A 20,369-nucleotide genomic window follows, 5' to 3' on the forward strand; every position below is an offset into this window, starting at 1 on the left:
TTTTGGACAAAGAAACTGCACGTCCAAGATGTAGTGAATGGGGTCCCAAGCTTATCTATCTCTGTCAGCCATGGGCTTTGAAAAGCATCCATACTGATAGCTCCTGTACAAGGTCAGGCAAGGCTTCTTCAGTGGGTCCCAGGATTTTCCACAAAGTCTAAACTTTCTTCCATAATCATGAGTTTTTGCTCCACAAATGGATTTTTAAAGTGAACAAAAAAGCCTATGCCCAGAAAGATCTTGAGAGGCCAAGCCAGCCTTCCCGGGAGACTCGAGGTCTCCTAGGCTCAGATCTAAGGAGGACTCTGCTCAGAGGCCCTGCAGCCCTGAAGTTCCTCCTCCACACCATGCCTCAAAGTTGGTGGGCACCCAGAGATGGCACCCTGATGCACAGCCTGTCTTGGTCCCATGAACATCTCCTCTTCAGGAAGGAGGCATGGGCCCAGATCTAATGCCATTTCCTCCTGGTGGGTGGTTCAGAAAGAAGCTCCCTCGTGGGCCCTGGCACACTGAGAAAGACACATTGGCTTGCCCTACTTTTTTCTGAGTACCCACAGAAAAGTGAAAATTAAAGTCCATGAATTTGGCATTGTAAATAAAATGAAATTCATTTATTTGATTAATATGCATCAAGATACAGCAGTGCAGAGAGCAGCATAGCCTAGCGGGGAAGTGCCAACCCTCTGAGTCACACTGCCTGAGTTTGGAGCTTGGCTTCACTACTCACTAGCTGTGTGACCTTGTGCAAGTCACTTAACTTCTCTGTGCCTCCATTTACTAATGTTGAAAATTGGGGATAATCATATTACCTACTTCCTTGTGGGGTTATTGTGAGGACTGAATAAGTTAATAACAGAGCCTTTCACATTCTATGGGCAACATAAACACCGGCTGTTGTTACTATTATTGTTACTGGTCAGGTGCTGGGCTGGGAGCTGGGGATGGAATTACGAGCAGTGGGGAGTTGTTGGGGTGGCTGCTTATTATTTCTTGTCTTCCCCACCAGAGTCAAGTACACAGAGTAACTTAGAACATAAGGCAACTTCTCTATCCTCTCTACGAGGACAGAGAGAATACAGATCCCACTGGTAACCTGGGCGAGGTGCCTTGGGATGCCTGAGGAAGGTCTGTTCCCAGATCCTCAGCCCCATTCCTGCTGAGGTCAGGGGAGGAAGGGATGTCAAGGAGGCCACATTGGCACCGGGAGCTGAATGCCACAGTGGGAGGGTCTGTATTTAGACTGATTTCCCCTGAGACTGGGGAGTTGGGTGGGCAGGGTCATCCATCACACTGTGTAGCCCAGGGCTAGGAAGCAGAGATTCCCACCTTATGGAGCTGTCACTGTGCAGGAAAACACCAAGGATTACTCAAAGCTTGAGTGCTGCTCCTCCAGGCTGCACGGACGGTGTCACGCTGCCCTCTGATCCTGGGGCTCGTGATCCGTATCCATGGCAGCTCAGTAGCCACAGAAGCCAAAGCCACCTGGCCATGAGGTCAGGAAGCACAGCTTAGGAAGGGTCTTGAGAATGGCCTCCGGGAACCAGAGAGGCCTGGAGGTGACAAGCTTCTCTGCTGCTGGGGCTGATCAGGGGTAGAGAAATGGAGTGCCCAGACCACTTCATACACTTGCTTCACCCACCTGTATAAGACATACCACGGTTAGCTCCTGGACCATGGACCTGGGCAAGGTCAGCTGGCTCCATATTAACCTCTTCTCCTCTGCCAGGCCCCAGGAGGATGTGGAATTACTGCACGATATTTATGTAGGGTACTCAGCTATCTCTAGGGGAGGGGCTTGCACTGTCATACTGCTGAGTACTTCTGCCTTCTTCCCTGGCCTCACTGCATGGCTCACCAGTGCTCTGCTCAACATAGGGGGTAGGAAGGTCTCCCAGATGTGGATGTGAGCCAAAGTCAGGGCCCAAAGGAACCACAGGAGGCATCCATCCAGACCAGTGCTTCTCAGCTCTTCTCAATCATAACCTACAAAACTGTATTTTTTGCATTTCACCCATTATACGCAAACAGATATAAGGGAAACGAGGTTACAAAACAATCTTTAGCATGACCATGTGTGATTAACTCTGACACATTCTGTTTTATTCTGTAATATTCTATTAAGAAGGAATGCTGTTCATGACCTAGTAAATTGATTTCATGGCCTGCTGGGTGGGTTGTGACTGCATTTTGCAAAACACTGATGTAGATCAACGGACTGCAACCTTTATAAACCAGTGCCACCTTTACGTGAATATTGAAATCCCTACCCTCCTTTCATGTTACTTGAAATTTGAAAATAAATTAGGTATCACAAATGAAAACAAATAGAAACAATGGCCATTTTGAAATATGATTTTTCAAAGTACATGTGCCACTTGACTTTCCCAAGATTTTGATACGGACACCCAGGAAAGGAGGGATGATCCCCCATTGAAAATAACTTATTTACAACTGAGGTTTCCAAAAGAGTCTGTGGAGCCCCCTTGGGGACAGTGGACCCTGAGAGAGGGGTGAGGGGAGTCTGAGACCCCTCTTTCCTCCTTTGCCAGAATAGCTCTAATTCAGTCTGTTTACCTATTAGGATTTTGCATAAGAAACCCTTTAAAGAAAGGGTCTGTGGCCAAAGAAGGTGCTTTGAACCATGAAAGCTAATGAGTTCATCTGTCTCCTTTCTCAGGGGAAACGATGAGGCCAAGGCATTTTTTCTATCAGAGAGGTTGGAGGACTTGCTAAAGATGACACAGAGAGGTAAAGTTGGGGCAGGAATGAGCGGGAAGCAAGACAGAAGGGAGACCTGGGCAGGGTGTTCCTGAGCTCTTCAAACTGCTTCCAAAAGGCCTGGCAATAGGACACACGCAGATCAATGAAAGGACCCATTACTTGGCTTATGTGCAATTTCTAGAAGGCTCAGAGTAGAAAATCTTCTTACCTACTGGGAGTCAGAAGCCCTGATTAACAGCTACATGTGTCTTTGATTAATAAAAGATGGAAAATGAACTGCTCATCTCTGCACACAGGCAGTATGTGCGGAGGAGAACATCTTCCGAACCTGGGGCCCGGGAGGCAGGAGGCCCTTAATGGGGAGAAGATAGACATCACCGTGTGTGCCCACCGGCTGCATATGCTATGTGTGCCCACGGCAGGCAGGAGGGTTCTGCTGTCTCTCCACACTGACACGCAGAAGCCACACTGAGGATCAGGGCTCATAGCTCTATAGCAACTACTACATCAGGTGCTGCTGCCCCAACCTAGGTCACCCATGGCTCCATGGCCAGAAATCTTCCCAGTGCCACTGGTTCCGCTGCAGCTGCCACCCCTGCCCCTTCACAGAGCCCTTTCTTACCCAGAGCCAGATGAGAGAGGTGATATGGCAGAGGCTTTTCTCCCAGCTTCCAGCAACATCCTCTGAACACAGCACAGGCGCCATGCCAGTCTGATGGCCAGATGCAGGCATTTAAAGGGAACCACTCTGTTTGCCAGAGCAAGCCCAGGTCCCAGCCATAAATGTCCCCAAGGGTTGGAATCAGCCCAGGAGACACGCCCACACGCTCATGCATTGTGCACATTCAGGGCACAGACAGGCACCATGGCTGAGAACACAGTTTAACCCAAGTTCTCAACCCTGGCTACACATTAAGTCAACTGGGAATGAGATAATCACATCAAATTAAGAATGCTCAGGCCCAACCCTGGTTGAGTCAAAATCTCTGGAGGTGGGGTTTGGGGCATCTCTTTTGTAGTATTTCCTTTCATTGTTTTCTCAACTCTCCAGGTGATTCCAATATGCAGCCAAGATTTAGAACCACTGGATTAAGGATAGTGGTTTCCAAACTTCAGTGTGTATACAAGAATCCACCTGGTAAGTTTGTTAAGACTACAGATCACCCCGAGATGTTCCATCCTAAGAGATTCTAGGGAAGAAGGTCTGGGTCAGGATAATTACTAAGAAGTCTTAAGAAATTAGCCCCTCCCTAATCAGCAGAACTTCAGGTCAACTAGAAACATCTCAAATCTCAAATAACAAAGCAAGCCTTCCTGTCTTATCCTCTGAGAAAAATACTGTAATCCTTTTATATATCATAAATGTTGTGCTGGTAAAATACCATGCCTTCTTTCAGATGTAGTAATATGTTATCATTCTCCTCTGTCCCACAGCCTTTGGAAGTTTAATAACTTATGACTGCAAGGTCTGTTTTCCTCATCTGAACGTCATAATGTTTCATCTTCCCTGCCTGAGCATGGAAAGACCCACCTCCCCAAGGCAAGTTGTTGAGGGCTCCTGAATATACTCAGGTGTAGAAAGAGAAGTCTGTCAAGGACACAGGCTGTGGCGGTCCCCAGGCCCCCACTGGTGAGTGCTCGCCTCCTTCCTGCCTGCCATGCAGCTCTAAGAAACAGCCAAGTCTTGTTTTAAGATTCTGAGTCTTTTCTCCATACCACAAACTTCTCATGTGTTTCTGAAGCAGTGCTCCCCAGCATACACTTGGAGAAACAGATGGAAAAAAAAAAGCTTCCAACCAGCCCTTGCTCTAAGGGCAGGTGAGGCTGGGGCTGCAGGGAGGTTGCTGGGAGTCAAAGCCAGGCCAGGTTGCAGGACAGAGGATCTCAGGGACTCTTCATTGAGCCCCACTTTCCTGAGTCACTTGTAGTTAAGATTCTCGGGTCTGGGGGCTTTTTCAAACAGGATGCTCGCTAATGCTGGTCTACCACTCCACTTCAAGGATGACCAGCTTTGTAAGCAGCTGTCACTGAAGGGGGTGTGGCAGATTCTACAGGTGCTGGTGCTGGAGAAAATGTTATAAACCACCGAAAGAAGGATACAGGAGTCCAACAGGCTCCCTGCCTTCAGCGACCTTCGTTCTCCAGTGTGAGATGGATAGGTGAATGAGTATTGCTGGTGGACCATCATTGCACATGGGGCTGGCTGGCTGGCTGGACAGATGGACAGTCCTATAGACAGATGGCCATACAGCGGTTGCCAGGGTTTGGTAGGGACAGTGTGTTGGGCACAACCACTGCCTCTTGAGATGAGGCCACCAGGACACAGCACTCTTTAACCACGTCACTGTGAATCAGCCAGCTCTGATGATATTATTTTTTGGATCCCGGTAGCCAAGAAAAGCAGTCTGAGTTGCTATAAACATAAAGAAGCCCGTCTGCTTTCTTGCCTCTGTGAATGTCTCAGACAGTGCAGAACTAACGAAGGCCCCAAACCATGGTACCAGACTGTTCCCAGGGACTTCACAGAGGGAGCAGATGAAAGGCATGGAGACAGCGCTGAAAGCCTGCCCCTCATTATAAGCACTTCCAAGCTTCACAGCAATAGACAGTCCTCGTCAAGTTTGTTGTTATGGCTATGTCTTTTACAGGGTCCAGTACAGATCTCCATGGCAGAGACAGGCTGCTGCAGGGCTCAACAGAAGCCCCTGTCCTCTAGAGAGCAATCCCTGGTCCCCTGACCCCTAATTCACTTCTTCTCTAAACCTCACTGGATCTGCATCTTGGTGATCAACCTCTGACTTGTTTTCAGTTTGATCCATGAGGGCCATTTAGGGCTGCTCACATAGGCTGTGAGCTCTCTGAAAGCAAGGATCATCCATGCCCTTGTCAGCTGAGGGTCTCAGGGCTGGCTACATGGACGGTGTTAAGCAGATTTGCTAAAAGGTGGACTGTGAGTTGGTTGTTGGGGAATGAGTATAGGCTCCCTTAGGTGTTTTCAGCTTCCTCTTGCAGACTTTTCCAAAGGTATTTAGGGGCTCAGGTGGCAGTTAGACATGGGGCCTTTTCCAAGGACCCCCTCAGCCTGTCTTCCACTCAGCTCCATTGGAGAAGAGCATATTTAAGGACATAGTCATTCCATCAGGCCCCCAGAACAGGGTCCCTAGTCACAAGCTTTCCAAAACATCACTGGTCTCCAAGAGGATTTTGTTCTTTGAATGAATTGAAGTCCTGTTTGCTTGCCTTTGTAACTGCTTCCCATAGGAACCTTTAGAGAAAGACTGTCCCTCCAATCTGCTTCTGCCTCTCAGGTTACTTTTGCCAATTGACAGGGACACTTGGATGAGGATGGTTTTGAAGCTGTGACCAAGATGTTTCCCTGCCTTGAGAAGTCTCACAGCCAGCCCCCATCCATGCTTGACCACAGCTGTTACTTTCATTGTGTCACTAAGGGCAGAGACCCTGTACCACCAGGTTCAAGGCCAGGTCTTCAGTCCTCAGGCCCTAAGGTTAAGACCCAGGCACCAAGGGACATCCACATTCTGTCTCTACATAGTCCTGTGCAGGCATGGAGGAAATTGTACGGTCATGCCCTACATTCATATCTTGATCTATGGATGGGAATTTCCATCTTAGAAGACAAGAAGAAGCCCCCTATCCTTCTCCATTTATCTCACTTTCCCTCTGTCATCAGTGTGTGAGGAAGGCGCTATCCTCCACGCAGTCGGCTAGGCAAGTGAGCATGCTGTAGACCCCATTATTCCTATGCTAGAGGCTTGGGGATAGTGATAGGATGACTAATCGCTAGCTAATTTTGATCTTTTGATCTGTATATGATTCCTGTCTACTACTAAGCTAGCTGAGATATTGGCAGAGACAGGGGATTGACTGAAAGACCCCTTTCAGGCTCCACTAGCTGGGTCCCTTGGCAAATTCTCAGACCCCTTCCTTCCAGAGAGCTTCTTCCTGCCCCTGTGAGCCCTGTGCTGGGCAGCATCTCCCCAGACTACAGAACAGGAAGGACTGCCAGGAAGTCAGGTACCATGGTGTCTCCATGCTGCATTCTTAGCCTCTGACCATCTGTGGCCCCAGGACACTACTGTGCTCAGTGGGATGTTTTCCCCCTCCAGGTCCCCCTCCTAAAAACCTTTGCCTGAGAATCAAACGTCCTGCCAAATGGCTTCTTGATTTCTCCCCATTCATACTCAGGGGCCCGGGCACATCAATATCCCTCTTTCTCCTGTATCTTCCTTCCCTGCCTTTCCTCAGGACCATTTTCTTCCATCATCCTTGTGCTTCAGTCTCCCTCATCTAAGAAAACCTTTTCTGGGTCACTCTCATCCTAGCCTCTCATTTCCCCCACTTGCTTCCATTCCACTCCTTTTTTAAGAGGTCTACCCTGGCTTCCGCCTGTCCATCCGTCCTTCTGGTTGGCTTTCTACCTCTCTCATGGTTGCAGCAGTTCCCCAAGGGCAGGACTGTGCATTCAGAACATGGCGTCGGGCTCAGCACCTAATAGATGCACAAGAGAAGTTTGGTAAATAAATGAAAGAACAAATAAACCCACTCGATAAGTCATGCCCCACTTTAGGACTCAATTTGTTACCTATAAAGCAGTGAGTCATGTAGGACTGGTCCAGCCCTGACATAGTATTGTTCTGGGACTTCCATCTCCGTGGCATCATGATAGGTAGGTGGGGACTGGCTGCTAATCATGGTGCTGGTGGCAATGCAAATTGCAGGCAAGATTCTTCTTGCTGTGATTCCCCAGGTCTCTTTCAATGCTTCCCCCTTTCCTTGTGCTTTTTGGCATGCACCAGCTCCACCATGAAATTTTTAGCCTAATAGAGGTGATGTATATAAAGTCCATAGCACAGGACTTGGCACACAAAGTAAAAATAAGAACCCTTGTAGAAGCAAACTAAGCAAGGAAACTGAGGCTCAGATAAATTTTGTTACCTGCCTGGGGGTACTCAGCAAGAAAATAAGGTAGGCAGGATAGAAATTCTGTAGTACTTTTCTGATATCATCTCCTGACCAGTGGGGCCATAAGTCAGTCCCCTTGGCTCCTGCCCTGCCCAGGACCTGACTGGATGTCTGTTTGACAAATCAAACAGCTTTGCAGCCTGGCCCTCCCCATCAGCAGCACAGTTGTCTGGGGGCCATGAAGGGCCTGGCGAAGAGCTGGTCAGAGAGTGATGGGGACATGGCTGAGTCAAGGAGGACAGCAAGACCAGGCTCAGCAGAAAGCCACTTGCAGGAAACAATTTGGGTTTTATTTAGGGATTGCTTGCAAGATAAGTAGGTTTCTTTGGAGTGTGCAGAGTGTGCAGCCAGGAAAGATCAAATGATCTATCTCACACTAGGCACAGCTGATAGCAACCAATTCCCATGACAGGACAGGGGCTCCACTACCTGGATGGGGGCCATGTCTCCCACTGTTCTGCACTGCCTGGCTGGAGCAGAAAGAGGGATTTGCAGGGCCTGGTGCCAATGCCTGGCTATCAGGTTCCCTTGCTCAGGACAGGTCTGGGGCTGGAAGGGTAAGAGGGGTCACACGGGGACAGGGGTACCGCAGGGACAGTCATTTCCTCACTCTCTCACTGACTTCATGTATTTCTCAGAGCTTCCCTTTTCTGCCCCCAGTAAATCAAAGTCAATTCAAGATGGGTATATTCAGAGAGAGAGGGAGGCAGAGAATACACTAAAATGTTGGTAGTTCTTTCTGGGCTGTGCAACTGATGATGATTATTCATTCTGTAATAAGAAATCGGTAACAAATGACAAGTTAAGTGCTTATTGAGCCCCTTCTGAATGTGCAGAGTGAAACAAAGATAGACCAGACTCTTATACATTGAGTCTAGTTAGAGTAATAAAACTAATGATTACAATGTCTACCTACCTTGAAATCAGCTATGCTATGTTTATAAAAACACAAACTAAATGCCAGACAGTATGTTCAGTATTTCTATCTTCATTATATTATTTCATTTTCAGAATAAACCATGGGATAGGTATTACCATCCTCATTTTGTATACAAGGAAATAGAAACTCAAAGAAATGTCTTAGAAAGACTATATATGGGCCGGGTGCAGTGGCTCCCACCTGTAGTCCCAGCTACTCAGGAGGCTGAGGTGAGAAGATCACCTGAGCTGAGAAGGTTGAGGTTGCAGTGAGCCATGATCAAGCCATGGCACTCCAGCCTGGATGAAAGAGTGAGACCCTGTCTCAAAAAAATAAATAAATAAAAAAGATTCTACAGCAAGCAGGAGGCAGGGGTGCCATCCACAGCACCCACCTCACTCTGCCCTATCCCACTTACTGCTCTTACTACAGCCCCAAACCCACCTCCCTCTAAACAAGGCACTCTCAACCCATCCCTGGTACATACAGGCCCAGAAATACCCCGGAACTAAACAGCACATTATTAAGTAAAATTAAATAGAATTCAATAGGGCTACTGTCACTTATTTGACTTCTTCAGTGCAAAATACTTCAAGGCAAGAGCTTTGGATGAGTGAAAATGTATTTATTGAGCAATCAAATGAAAGCACTCCAGGCCCAGAATATGCTCTTCTATACAACTTATTTTATAAATACAAACCCAGTCTCATTCAAACATTCGAAATGAAAGATTTGCCTTTCAATGGAGAATCTGCATTTCAACATAAAGGTGTCTTAGTTATTCAATAGAGATGCAAGATCCGATTAATGCTGTATATTTAGCATTTAGAAAGCCTGAGGATTCCAGAAGGCTCGTTTTGGGCCTAAAGATGGCAGAGTGTGCAGACGGTGCAGAGTGAAATATGTGAGCTTCACTTTCAGCATCCTGAGTGCCTTCTCAGAAGGTAGGCTTGAGGGCAGCAGCAGGGCTGTCTTTTTTGCAAAGCCAAAGTGTGTATGCACACAGGGGGAGAGAGAAGCAAGTTCACTTCTAAGCCAGCAAGTTTGTTAAGCTAACTGAACACCTATTGCATGTCAGGCACCTGGCAGACATTGAGACTTTAATAAAATAGACCAAGGCCAGGTGCAGTGGCTCATGTCTGTAATCCCAGCACTTTGTGAGGCCGAAGTGGGAAGATTACTTGAGGTCAGGAGTTCAAGATCAGCCTGGCCAACATGGTGATACTCAGTCTCTACCAAAAATACAAAAATTAGCTGGGTATATTGGTGCATGCCTGTAATCCCAGCTACTTGGGAGGCTGGGGCAGGAGAATGGCTTGAACCTGGGAGGTAGAGGTTGTAGTGAGCCCAGATCCGACACTGCACTCCAGCCTGGGCGACAGAGTAAGACTCCATCTCAAAACAAAACAAAAAACAACAAAACCGATGTTAATAAAACAAACCAAGACATTAAGTAAAATAAACCAAGAACCCAGGTCATCACAGATTGTGAAATAGTAAGAGAAACTTGGAGGAGAGCTGCTGCTTTAGATAGAGTGGTCAACACAGGTCATAGGAAGGACCCATTTGAAGTGGTATCCAAAGATGAAAATGAGCCAGCCATAGAACTAAGGAGACAGCAAGTATAAAAGACTTGTGGCCAGAAAGAACTCAGGGGGCTCAAAGAACCAAAATGGCACGAGTGTGATTGGCTGAGAGTGGTAAAGATAGGTAAGGTATAAGGCTGGGGAAAGATCGTACAGGACCTGTGAGCCTTTGTGAGGAGTGTGGCTCTTGTTCTAATAGCAATGGGAAAACTTGGAAGGGTTTTCAGCAAAAGAGGAACAGAATCCGATTAACATAATTGAAAGTTCAAAAGAATGAATGGAAGGAGGCCAGTGCGTAACTATTGAGTAGTCCAGGAAAGAAGTGGCTTGGATGATGCTAGTAGTATTGGATATGGAGGGAAGTATTTAAAGTATATTTTGGAAGTAGAAACACTGGGCTTTAAAGTTAAGTAAAGGTGGATTCATTCATTCAACAATCATTGGAGATCAAGAAATCTGAAGGCCAAGGATTTATTCCTCACTGTATCAACAATGCTTTAGGAATGCAGAGGCTCCTAACCATGGGAAGAGTTGCTGCAGTGCAAACAGGGACGCCTCAAATTCACCATAGATGAGATAACATATATGTATACATTTAATCTATTCTAGAAAACATACTAGAGGACATGAGAGACAGTGTTGACTCCACAGCTGTCTAAAATGCCCTGACCTGCCTTTCCCCAGAGTGGGAATGTCAATATAAAAATGGGCACGTAGATGAGCAAAATGTCCCTGAGTCTGACAGCCTCCTGACACACCCAGGCCTCCTGCCTAGCACAGGGTAGGCATCTTTTAGGGGAAAATATCGTGCTCATTCCACAAATGAACAGAGAGGGACTACTGAATACCATGTAAATTTCAGTATGTAGATTTCAACTTTCTCCCATTTCAATTTTATCACAATAAAGTGAATAACCAAACAAGATCTCTTCTTTCTTTTTTCTTATAACTACTTCGTGCCATTTCTCTCCATGCTTTCTACCTGCACAACACATCTTGTTATCACATTACAGTGACTGCATCTCAAATAGCTGATAATTATCATATTTCTAGAGGCTGTTAACATCTACTTTCCACAGTGATATCCTTCCAAATCTCCATGTGAGTCATTTATTTCACTTTTTTATGAACATCACAGGTAGGTGCTCAGTGGAAAATAATCATTAATCTCATTAAAACAGCAGGGTGAGAAGCTTAAGAGCATGGCTCCTGACATCCTAGAAGTCTAGAATTGTGGCTCTTGAGACCCCAAATTGAGTTTTGTTCCTTTTAATAATCATGAATGTCAACATCTAAAAGCATACTTTAAAACAAAATCTTCAAAACTTGGCCAGAGGCTGTTGCATCTTGTTACTTATGCTCACTTAACAATGCTAAGTGCTTACGGTACCCAACAATACTGCTAGCCAGCCCTGGGAGGGGACTGCATGCACAGTTGTTGCACCTGCCCAACTGGTATTCGTTTTGTTTTCAGAAGAAAACTGCGGAGATGCCCCTAGAATCCCCCACCCCAACAGAGATCCTACAGGGAGCTGTTCATGAAACAAGTCCCCAAGGCCTTCTGGATTGTCACAGTTGGAGTCCACATCCATCTGCCACACAGCATCTTGGTTCCATAGAATTCCAACTGTGTAGACCCTGACTCCAGTCTACACAGGATGAAACAACAGGCACTGAATCCAGGAACAGAGCTGGGGGAGCCACGGTTTTCTTGACGCATCCCATTCTCTAAGCTCAAAACTTCCCTGCCTGTAAGGTGAGATGGCTCATGACGATAGAAATATGGACATGGCGAACGTGAAATTGCCCTTCCCTGTTCAGCCTTCCCTTCTGGTCCCCTGAAGGCTGTGATCTCTCAACTTATTAGTTCAAGAATGATATTTTTCCTTCATATCTTCCAGCCAGGTCCCCCTGGAAATCAGAAATCAATTAGTTCAGTCTTTCCCTGTACCAGCTGATAAGGTTCTTATGAGTAGCAGTGAAATTGGGAGACATCCAAACATTAATAACAGCATAGAGAAGTGACCCCTCGTCATCATGTCTCCCGGGATTCCAGACTCTTACCTTGCAATAGCTGACTTATCAGGGCCTGGAACTGTTCTCCTGTGGTTATTCAGGGATACCCAGAGCTGGGGAATGTGATTTCTCAGGTGAACAGAGCTAGTTGGACACATTCAGAAGGCAGAAATTTCTCCTATAGCCTATAAAATTAAAGGCAATAAATAAGCAAATGAAATGTGTTTCCTAGGACTCTGGAGGTGCTTTCTTTATTGACTCATAAAGCATTGCCCAGCACTCTTGTTCTGCTATGGACAGCTCCGGTGACAAGGATGAGCTATCAGCTCACTAATTGGAATGTCCTGTTCTCAGGAAACTCTTTTTCTGAAGGAATCAAATTTCCAGCCCCCACTGTCTCTTTTCAGGAGCGATTGCTCACAGGCATTTAGATATTTGAGATGGCTATTTCATAGCAACTTGGGCATGATGTGACAGGTGCAAGGAGAAGACAGATTCTGGGAGATGCCCACATAACAAGAAAGTTAAGCTGGGAATTTTCACTAAGGCACCAAGATGCAATGGATACCAGATGCCCAAGCAAGTTCTCAGACAAGTCAGTGCATGACACTTCAAAGAAGGTGACTGAAAATTAATTAGTGATTCACTTAGATTGAGGGACAAAGGACTGCATTGTTGAAGATTAAGAGGGTCTATGAAGAGGATTTCTGAGTTGGGGTCCACCCATCCCCGAGGGAAAGGCTGGATGACCGACCTCCCACCGCACACTTAGTGGGAGAGGCTTCAGTGGAACCACCTACAGAATAGATTTGGGTTCCCTGAAGTTGGAGAACACAGGCATCTGTGCCTGACTCATAGTGGAGAAAGCTAGAGAGGCCACTAACACCTCCTCCAATGGCAGGATGAAGGTGGCCAAACCCAGAACCCATGGAGGGAATGCCAGCCTGCAATTGTTTTAGTAGGCATCCTGCCCAGGAAGGCATCTTTCCAGGGCATGGGATCCCTCAATAAGCCACTATGAGGGACCAAAGGGGCAGGAACCATGTGAGGGTTGGGAGTAGCCAGTTGAAGCTGAGGCCCTGGCTCTATCAAAGAAGCTGCAGTCACCTGGCCCAGCAGGGGCATCTCCAGAGAACTCACACAATCACAATAGAAGAGTCATCTTAAATATCTGCCTGGGCCTGCAGGCACAAGGCCACTTCAAGACAGTATCAGTCAAGTGGGAAGCCTCCTGCCCTCCACACCTTTCCTCTCCCTCCTCCTTTCTAGAATGGTGAGAGATCACAGCTGGCAAATAGGGAGGAAGAGCTGGGAGAGACAAGCAGGAACCTATTCCCCTCCTTGGACTACAGATCCTCTAGTAGAATTAACAGCGAGTTTAAGTTTTGCTGATTAAATAGCACTGGACCCTCTTAAGACTGTGTTTTGGTATAAATTTATATACGACTTATGACAAAGAAAGTCATGGTCTTGTCTGAATTTTCACCCTATAGCAGAAGACTTACTCTTACTGAGCACATTTAAAAGGATAGTGATAACAAAGATACAGATGCTTCTGTAATTACACCCCAGGAGTCTTGTTTATTCAAAGTACCAGATGTACCAAGTCAGAGCATCAAGGAGAGGCTTTATTTGATCACCCATGGCTAATTTTGCCAGAAAGTCCTACAATTAGGAACTGATCCCTTTGGGACATCAGGCTTTATCTAAGATCAAAAGCTTCAAATCCACTGGGTCATAATATTTTCCTGACTGTGGAGGGAGGGGCTTTATGCTCTCAGCAAAACAAATCTATATTTGGGGTTGTTTGTCTAGATTTGCAAAGATAATTTGAGGATATAAGGAAGATTCTAAGAACATACAAAGAGAAAAGAAAACAAAACAGGTCACATAGAAAGGAGCAAAACCTGGATAGTATCAGACCACAGAAGCAACACTGGGAGCTGGAAGGCAATGAATCAGCACCTTCAAAATTCCAGAGAAACTTGTTTTCAACCTAGAGTTCTAAAGCTAGCTAACATGCCAATCAAATGTGAGCGTAGAATAAAGACATTTTCAGACATGCAAAGGCAAAATATTTATTTCCCATGGCCTCTTTCTTGGGAAGCTACTGGAAGACATGTTCCTATAAAAAGGGAGTAAACCAAGAAAAAGGAAGATAAGGAATTAACGCAGGGGTTCAGCCCAGGAGCAGGATAAGGGACTCCCTGAGATGAAGCCGTCCTCATGCCCCAAACGGCAGCACCGAGGCAGGCCTGAGCAAACAGCCCAGATGCAGCAGAAGGATGGAGCACTCCTGGAAACCAAATGAAATGAATGGATCACATTCATAAAACAGATTTGATAGAGCACATACAAAAAAATCAATGCTAAATGCTTATTTAATTTTCTTTATAAAAGGGCAAATATTAATATGACTGTGTCTGGGGTTGGCCTGTTTGACCTCATTTCCATTCCTTGCTCTTCTCTGGCCCGTTCTGTTTCATGGGAGTTGAAGCGAGCAGAGCAGGCTGACTCCTGCAAGCCGCGTTTCTCAATTGGCTTCTATGTGAATTTGGCCAACAGGAGGCACTGAAGAGAGATGGGGGCGGGGGAGGGGAGAAGCCTAGGTGTTTCTGCCCCTGGCTGTCTGTCTCTTGCGGCATCTCGGCATCTCCCGCGGAGGTGGCATCTCCCGCGGAGGTGGCACCTCCTCAGGGCTGACTCCTCTCAGAAAGGACTGCCCTGGTTCCACCTTCTGCCAATGGCCCTGCGTCTTGGGCTCTGGAAAAACTGTCCATGCCCTTGGCTCTCTAGCCCTAGGCCTGGTGGTGGCAGCTTCCTGCTGTGCCTAATTTCTGGTTGCCTTGACTGCCTCTGTTTGGCTTCCCAATTCTTCCATTACTTGTATAACCCATTCCTTAAATTCTGCCTAAAATGCTTACTGATTAATGTTTTCCTAATTGGACACCGATTCAACTAGGAAAAATAAAGTTTACATCATGGAAGTCTCCTTAACAGGGAACAATATTTTCACAGTACATAATGTTAATACTGTCTACCGTTTTAACCCAAAGTTTGAGGATTGAGGAAGAGGAGGTATGTGTTTTAAGGAGATAGAAAATATAAGGCAGCCAAATCCTTATCGACTATAATAAGAAATCAATACATAATGTCTAATACTATTGAATCAGAAAACAGTGGTGCCAGCAAATTATTTAGAAATATGGTAGCAAATATGAGTTGAAATAGCTAAGGGGTTCAATAGTGCTTCCCAGATCTGGGAAGATGACTGTGGTGAAGCAGGGAACTATTTTATTTTATTATAGATACTATTTGAGGTTTTTTAACTATGTAAAGGATTACTTTGATACAATTCAAAAAATAATCTAAAAATAATGATTTATTTCCGTGGTTTACTGAGGGATGACATTAAACTCACTAACCTACAGTTTGCAAAGCTGACCTGTGCCCCATGCGGAAGTCACGTCATTGATTCATCTGTAGCCTCTGGCCCCAGTCCTTCTCTATCCCACACTCTGAAGCTTGTGGACCAATGTTTTCTTCTGCAAATTCATCTTCTGGAAGCCTCATCTAGTAAAATCCAGGCCAGAAACATGAGCTCATTTAAAATAGCTATGCTCTCATCAATGTCCCTAAACTCAAATTGCACTGTGGAGAGGTAAGTTACCTAGATGCTCTACCTCCCGGGTCCAGGAGTGATAGAGAAGATGAGGAGAGAGGAGCAAGGCTGCTACCCCAAGCCCCACCAGGAGGCTAGAGAAGAGAGATGGGAGAGTTTGTAGATCTTGGAGCGGGGAGGGGGTACAGGAGGCAGAAAATACTGCTATTTGTCACCTTCCCTACCTTGAGCTTCAACTTCCTTTTATTCAATAACCTCCTATCTGAAACATCATCTCCCAGAACAAGCCATGGGTGGTAGCCACAAAATAAACTAAAAGAAGGGGTCAATCTTTCTTTATTTCTTTCTTTCTTCCTTCCTTCCTCTCTCTCTCTCTTTCTCTCTCTCTCGCCCCCCTCGCCCCAACCTCAGTCATATCCCAATAACTGACCCTCAGTCTCTGTTATTTGTTCTTTTGGGGCATCTCATTCTGAGTTCTACTCTGTCCCTTGGATAATGGTGAAATCTATTCATTCTCAGTTATCTGTCCATCTTCCTCTGGCCTAATGGTCTGAATTGGTTCCAGGTAGTGGTTTCTCTTATCTCTCACACTGCCTTCTGAGCTGCAGTGGTCCATGAAGCACGTTGTGAACGTATCAGACACTCTGCTTCTAGTGTCTGGTTAGAAAGAGGCTCTGAGCAGTCTCTGGTCACCACCTGGTCCCAGTACTGGTTTTGAGATCTGATTCTGTAATGCAGTGGCACCTTCCTACTGGGGATCACTGAGAGCAGAGAAGTGACATTGAGAGGCTGGCTTCAGCCTCCAGAGTCTTCCCTGACTCTCCAGATGAGTCCCTTCATCCCTGTATCAGCACTTCTCACAGCGTGCTCTACAGAACCCTAGTTCCGTGCAGAGTTATTAAGTGCTATGTGATAGAAGGTTCTGTGGTGAAATGGCTAAGGGAATTACTGCTTAATCCTGGTTAGGGGAAAATGATTCCTGACTCAGGACTTCTCAGGCCTTTCTTGGGAACCTCCAAGAGTGAAATGTACCTACAGCCCTGGGCAACCTCATGTGACTGGGGAGCCCTTCTTTGTGGACACATCCCAGGACTGATGTGCCATAGGAAATGCTGTCTTCCATCATCTTCTCCAAGTTCCTCAGCACCGACTTTCCAATCTAATGGAATTTGCTCAAACTGCTTCCAGAGGGAAACTCCAATGGAATCCTGGCAGGAGGTTTCTATGGGTCTGGGTGGCTGTGCATAGCTGGTGAGTAAGCTCAGGACTGAGAGAGCAGCTGAGCCACCCAAACAGCCCCCTGCACTCCACTAGGCAATTCATCTGCAAATTCCCATGAGAAGGCAGTCTGTGCTACCCCTTGCCCTGGCTACAGCTACACCTCTACATGCCCTGTGCTCCTCGCTGAGCATGAATCCCTCCTCGCTGGTCTTAGCTTAGGATCCCCCCAGAAGCTGACTCTTGGGCAAGCATTTGAGCTCAAGAAGGAGATGAAGAAAACCTGGTAAGGGGGAAACATGAGACAAGAAGGGAAGGCAGCGAGTAAAGGTGCTTTATGCAGCCAGCATGCTGGGAGATTAGGACCAAATCCTGATGGTGACACTCAGTGTAGAGCACATGCCTCAGAGCTGACTTTCCCAAGGGACAAGGGAACTAGGGTATTTATACACTATCTCCCGGCAGTCATCAGCTCATGCTGTGTGGAGGGCAGGACTGTGAGTTTCCCAGCACTCTGGCCTGCCCTAGTGTAGTAGACACCAATGGAAAGAGAAAGCACCCAGGCAAAGAAACTCAGGTGCTGGTGGTTGGAATTTGGATCAGTGTGCACTGAAGGAGTAGAATGGGGGGAAACGGGCAAAGCACAGATAGCACGACAGCACCTGCTGCACCTCTGAGGATGTCATCACCCCTCCTACCCTAACAGGCCCTTCAGGAGGCACAGACCTTGTTTGAATTATCACAGTTGTATCCCCAGAGCATAGCTCAGTGTCAGGCCCCATAGTATTGTTGAATGGCAGATCCTTCAAAGCATAGCTTAAATACATTTCTTTGAATTACCTACCCCATTCCACAGAATTAATCATCCCTGTCGAAGTCCCTACATCCCTCTTTGCTCCCCTCTAGCCACACTGAATTATGATTGCCGTCATCCTTGTCTGTTTCCCTACTGGGCTACGGGCCTCCTGAGCAGGATCCTTGTCTCCCAGGGCTGAGGCCCATAGCAGGAGCTTAACATGCAGCTCCTGGACTGCATGGAGCTAGTTCCACTGGGGCCTTTGGTGTGGAGTACTCAGGGTGAGAAAGAACATTCAGCTCCAGCCTGTCTGCTGGGAAGCCCATGTGCAGTCGGAGGGGCCTGCCATCCTCCCCCAGCTGTGCCAGCCCCGTGCAGTGGGCACGCCGTCACTGTGCATTTGGCTCTGCCCTAGAGCTGTGCTCTTCACACTGATCCCAAGGCCCCATTTATGAAAGCCCTCCACCCTGGCCCACAGACCCCTGGAGCCAGAAGGCAAGGGAATGAGGCCTCTGGGCAGATGGGTCAGCTTGGACTGTTCTGCAATGAGGGAAAATGTACAGAGGCAGAGAGAATGAGGGGTGGCATCCTGGGCTCACTGAGAGAGGGAGGCCATCCTCTCCCAGGAGCAAGACCCAGCCCTTTATGGTTACACAGAAGCCATGAGGACAGTCACACCAGCTTGGATTCCCATACACAGGATAGTCTGTCTTCCTCTTGGAGGCCCCTGCCCTGTGCCGGTGGGAAATCAGAAACATGGCTACTGATTGCAAACGTGTTAAGAAGAAGAAAAAAGCAAATCAGTATCCCAGGCACACTAAGGTGATGGGCTGGTACATCAGTTCTTCAGCAATCTTATGAAATTAGCTAAAGCCAAACTTCCAGGCACAGGGAAAACGGAAATAAACCCTCCAAGGTCAGATGCACAGGGCTTGTCCTGCCTGCTACAAAGCTATCCCTTGCTCTACAAAGTGTGTTCCATGGCCCAGCAGCATGGGCATCGCTGAGGAGCATGTCAGAAATGCAGGCTCTTGGACCCCAGCCCAGACCTACCTCATCATAATCTGCATTTGAACAAATCCCCAACTGATTCATATGGACATTAAAATCTGCGAAGTTCAGCCTTTGCTCAGATTCACTCCATTTGCTCAGGATTCTCCCCTTTAAACCATAAGAAGCTATGGGTTTGCCAGTCTGAAATCCTGAGCACCTTCCCCTTGGTCCAATCTGATGCCCACTGCTGTGCCTAAGAGAGGGACTGTCTTGCCTCCTTGCCTCTATGCCTGCTGCTCCCTTTGCCTAGACTGTCCTCCTTTGCCAGCTCTACTCTTAGCCTGCTAAAATTCAGCTCTAGGGCTCCCTTCTGGGCAGCTTCCCCTGATTCCCCCGGCTGTAAGAAGCCCTCCTCTGGTCTCCCATGAGTCTATGCTATGACTCTGTCCTCAGTCATAGCACAGCTTTCATCAGACTGTGCAGCTCTGAAGTCTCCTCATCACATGGGGAACTATGCGGTCAGCTCTATACAACCAACTGCTGCCACAGACACTTGAAACGTCTTGGTCGAAGAGGAAAGGATGTCCACTGGACATTATTCTGAGGGTAAAGGCCATTCATTCTGGAGAAGCCAATGGCAGATGGATCTGAAAATGTGCCCCCTACCCTGGCCCAGCCTGCTCCTGGCCATCCACACAGAGCTTCTGGGAGCTAAGGCCTGAGGAGGGTTCAGGAAAGGTCAGCACGCCAACTTCATAAGACCATTCTGAAATCCACACACTCTTTCTCTTCCGATTGAGGCAAGACCCTGAATGGCAGAAGGCTCTAAAGGCAGCCCTTGGTGACGCTAATGAGCTGTGGGAGGGCAGGTGATGGGGGCTGTGATGGGAGGTGTGCTTTCAGGATGCACAGACGTTACTTCAATAAATAATGAGCTCAATATCCGTGGGCGAGTTGGTATTTAGGCTCCTTTCCGTGTGTTTTTGGATGGATGATTAATGCAGCTGTAAAAGAGAAGCCGTGAGCTGTGTGTGGGCAGATGCAGACTGAAATGAAGGCCCCGAGCAAAGTTCCATCGTGGGACATGGGGGTCCAATGTGTAACCCCCTCCCCGGAAGGACACAGCACCTACTCTGTGCGGGGGACTTTCCATGCATTTCTCATTCACCTTGTCAAGAGCTCAGTGAGATTACTGTTATTACCTGCATTTTACAAATAAGGAAACAGAAGCTCTGAGCAATTAAAAAGAAAGGATTATCAAAATTCGCCTAGCTGCTGAGTGCTGGAGTCAGGCTGCTCATCCGAACCTGTTTGTAAGGCAGAGCTCTTGCAAAATGCAACAAGCCTACTGCTGACCACCAGAGACCTAAGCTAGTTCTGAGCAATTTGCTTCATTTCAAATATAGCCAGGTGAGGCCAGGCATGGTGGCTCACACCTGTAATCCCAGCAGTCTGGGAGGCCGAGGTGGGCGGATCACCTGAGGTCGGGAGTTTGAGACCAGCCTGACCAACATG

The 20,369-nt window shown here is 47.1% G+C and overlaps 1 protein-coding gene and 1 long non-coding RNA gene across 7 annotated transcripts in view, besides 2 other annotated features; both read right to left on the reverse strand.

The window, feature by feature from the left end:
• The window catches only part of GALNT18 (polypeptide N-acetylgalactosaminyltransferase 18), a 351,129-nt gene that overhangs the window by 193,166 nt on the left and 137,594 nt on the right, over window positions 1-20,369 (reverse strand). The window lies entirely within an intron of this gene.
• LOC107983976 (uncharacterized) lies at window positions 9,234-20,314 on the reverse strand. The gene is made up of 2 exons (XR_931032.3): window positions 12,274-20,314; window positions 9,234-12,120 (listed from the first exon to the last, which is right to left on the reverse strand). It is a non-coding gene; the product is annotated as an uncharacterized LOC107983976 (long non-coding RNA).
• Window positions 10,678-10,847: an enhancer, noted in NCBI's record as "experimental_18862 CRE fragment used in MPRA reporter constructs". NCBI's record gives its function as "activates a minimal promoter by MPRAs in K562 erythroleukemia cells, with activity observed for the introgressed 11:11496352 or rs11021872 variant allele {active_cell/tissue: K562}" and the evidence as "EXISTENCE:reporter gene assay evidence [ECO:0000049][PMID:34662402]".
• Window position 10,763: a transcriptional cis regulatory region, noted in NCBI's record as "Neanderthal adaptively introgressed variant 11:11496352 (GRCh37/hg19 assembly coordinates) or rs11021872 in the experimental_18862 CRE". NCBI's record gives its function as "modulates activity of the experimental_18862 enhancer by MPRAs in K562 erythroleukemia cells {active_cell/tissue: K562}" and the evidence as "EXISTENCE:reporter gene assay evidence [ECO:0000049][PMID:34662402]".

This window comes from Homo sapiens, chromosome 11 (genome assembly GCF_000001405.40).
Source record: "Homo sapiens chromosome 11, GRCh38.p14 Primary Assembly".
NCBI classification, from domain to species: domain Eukaryota; kingdom Metazoa; phylum Chordata; class Mammalia; order Primates; family Hominidae; genus Homo; species Homo sapiens.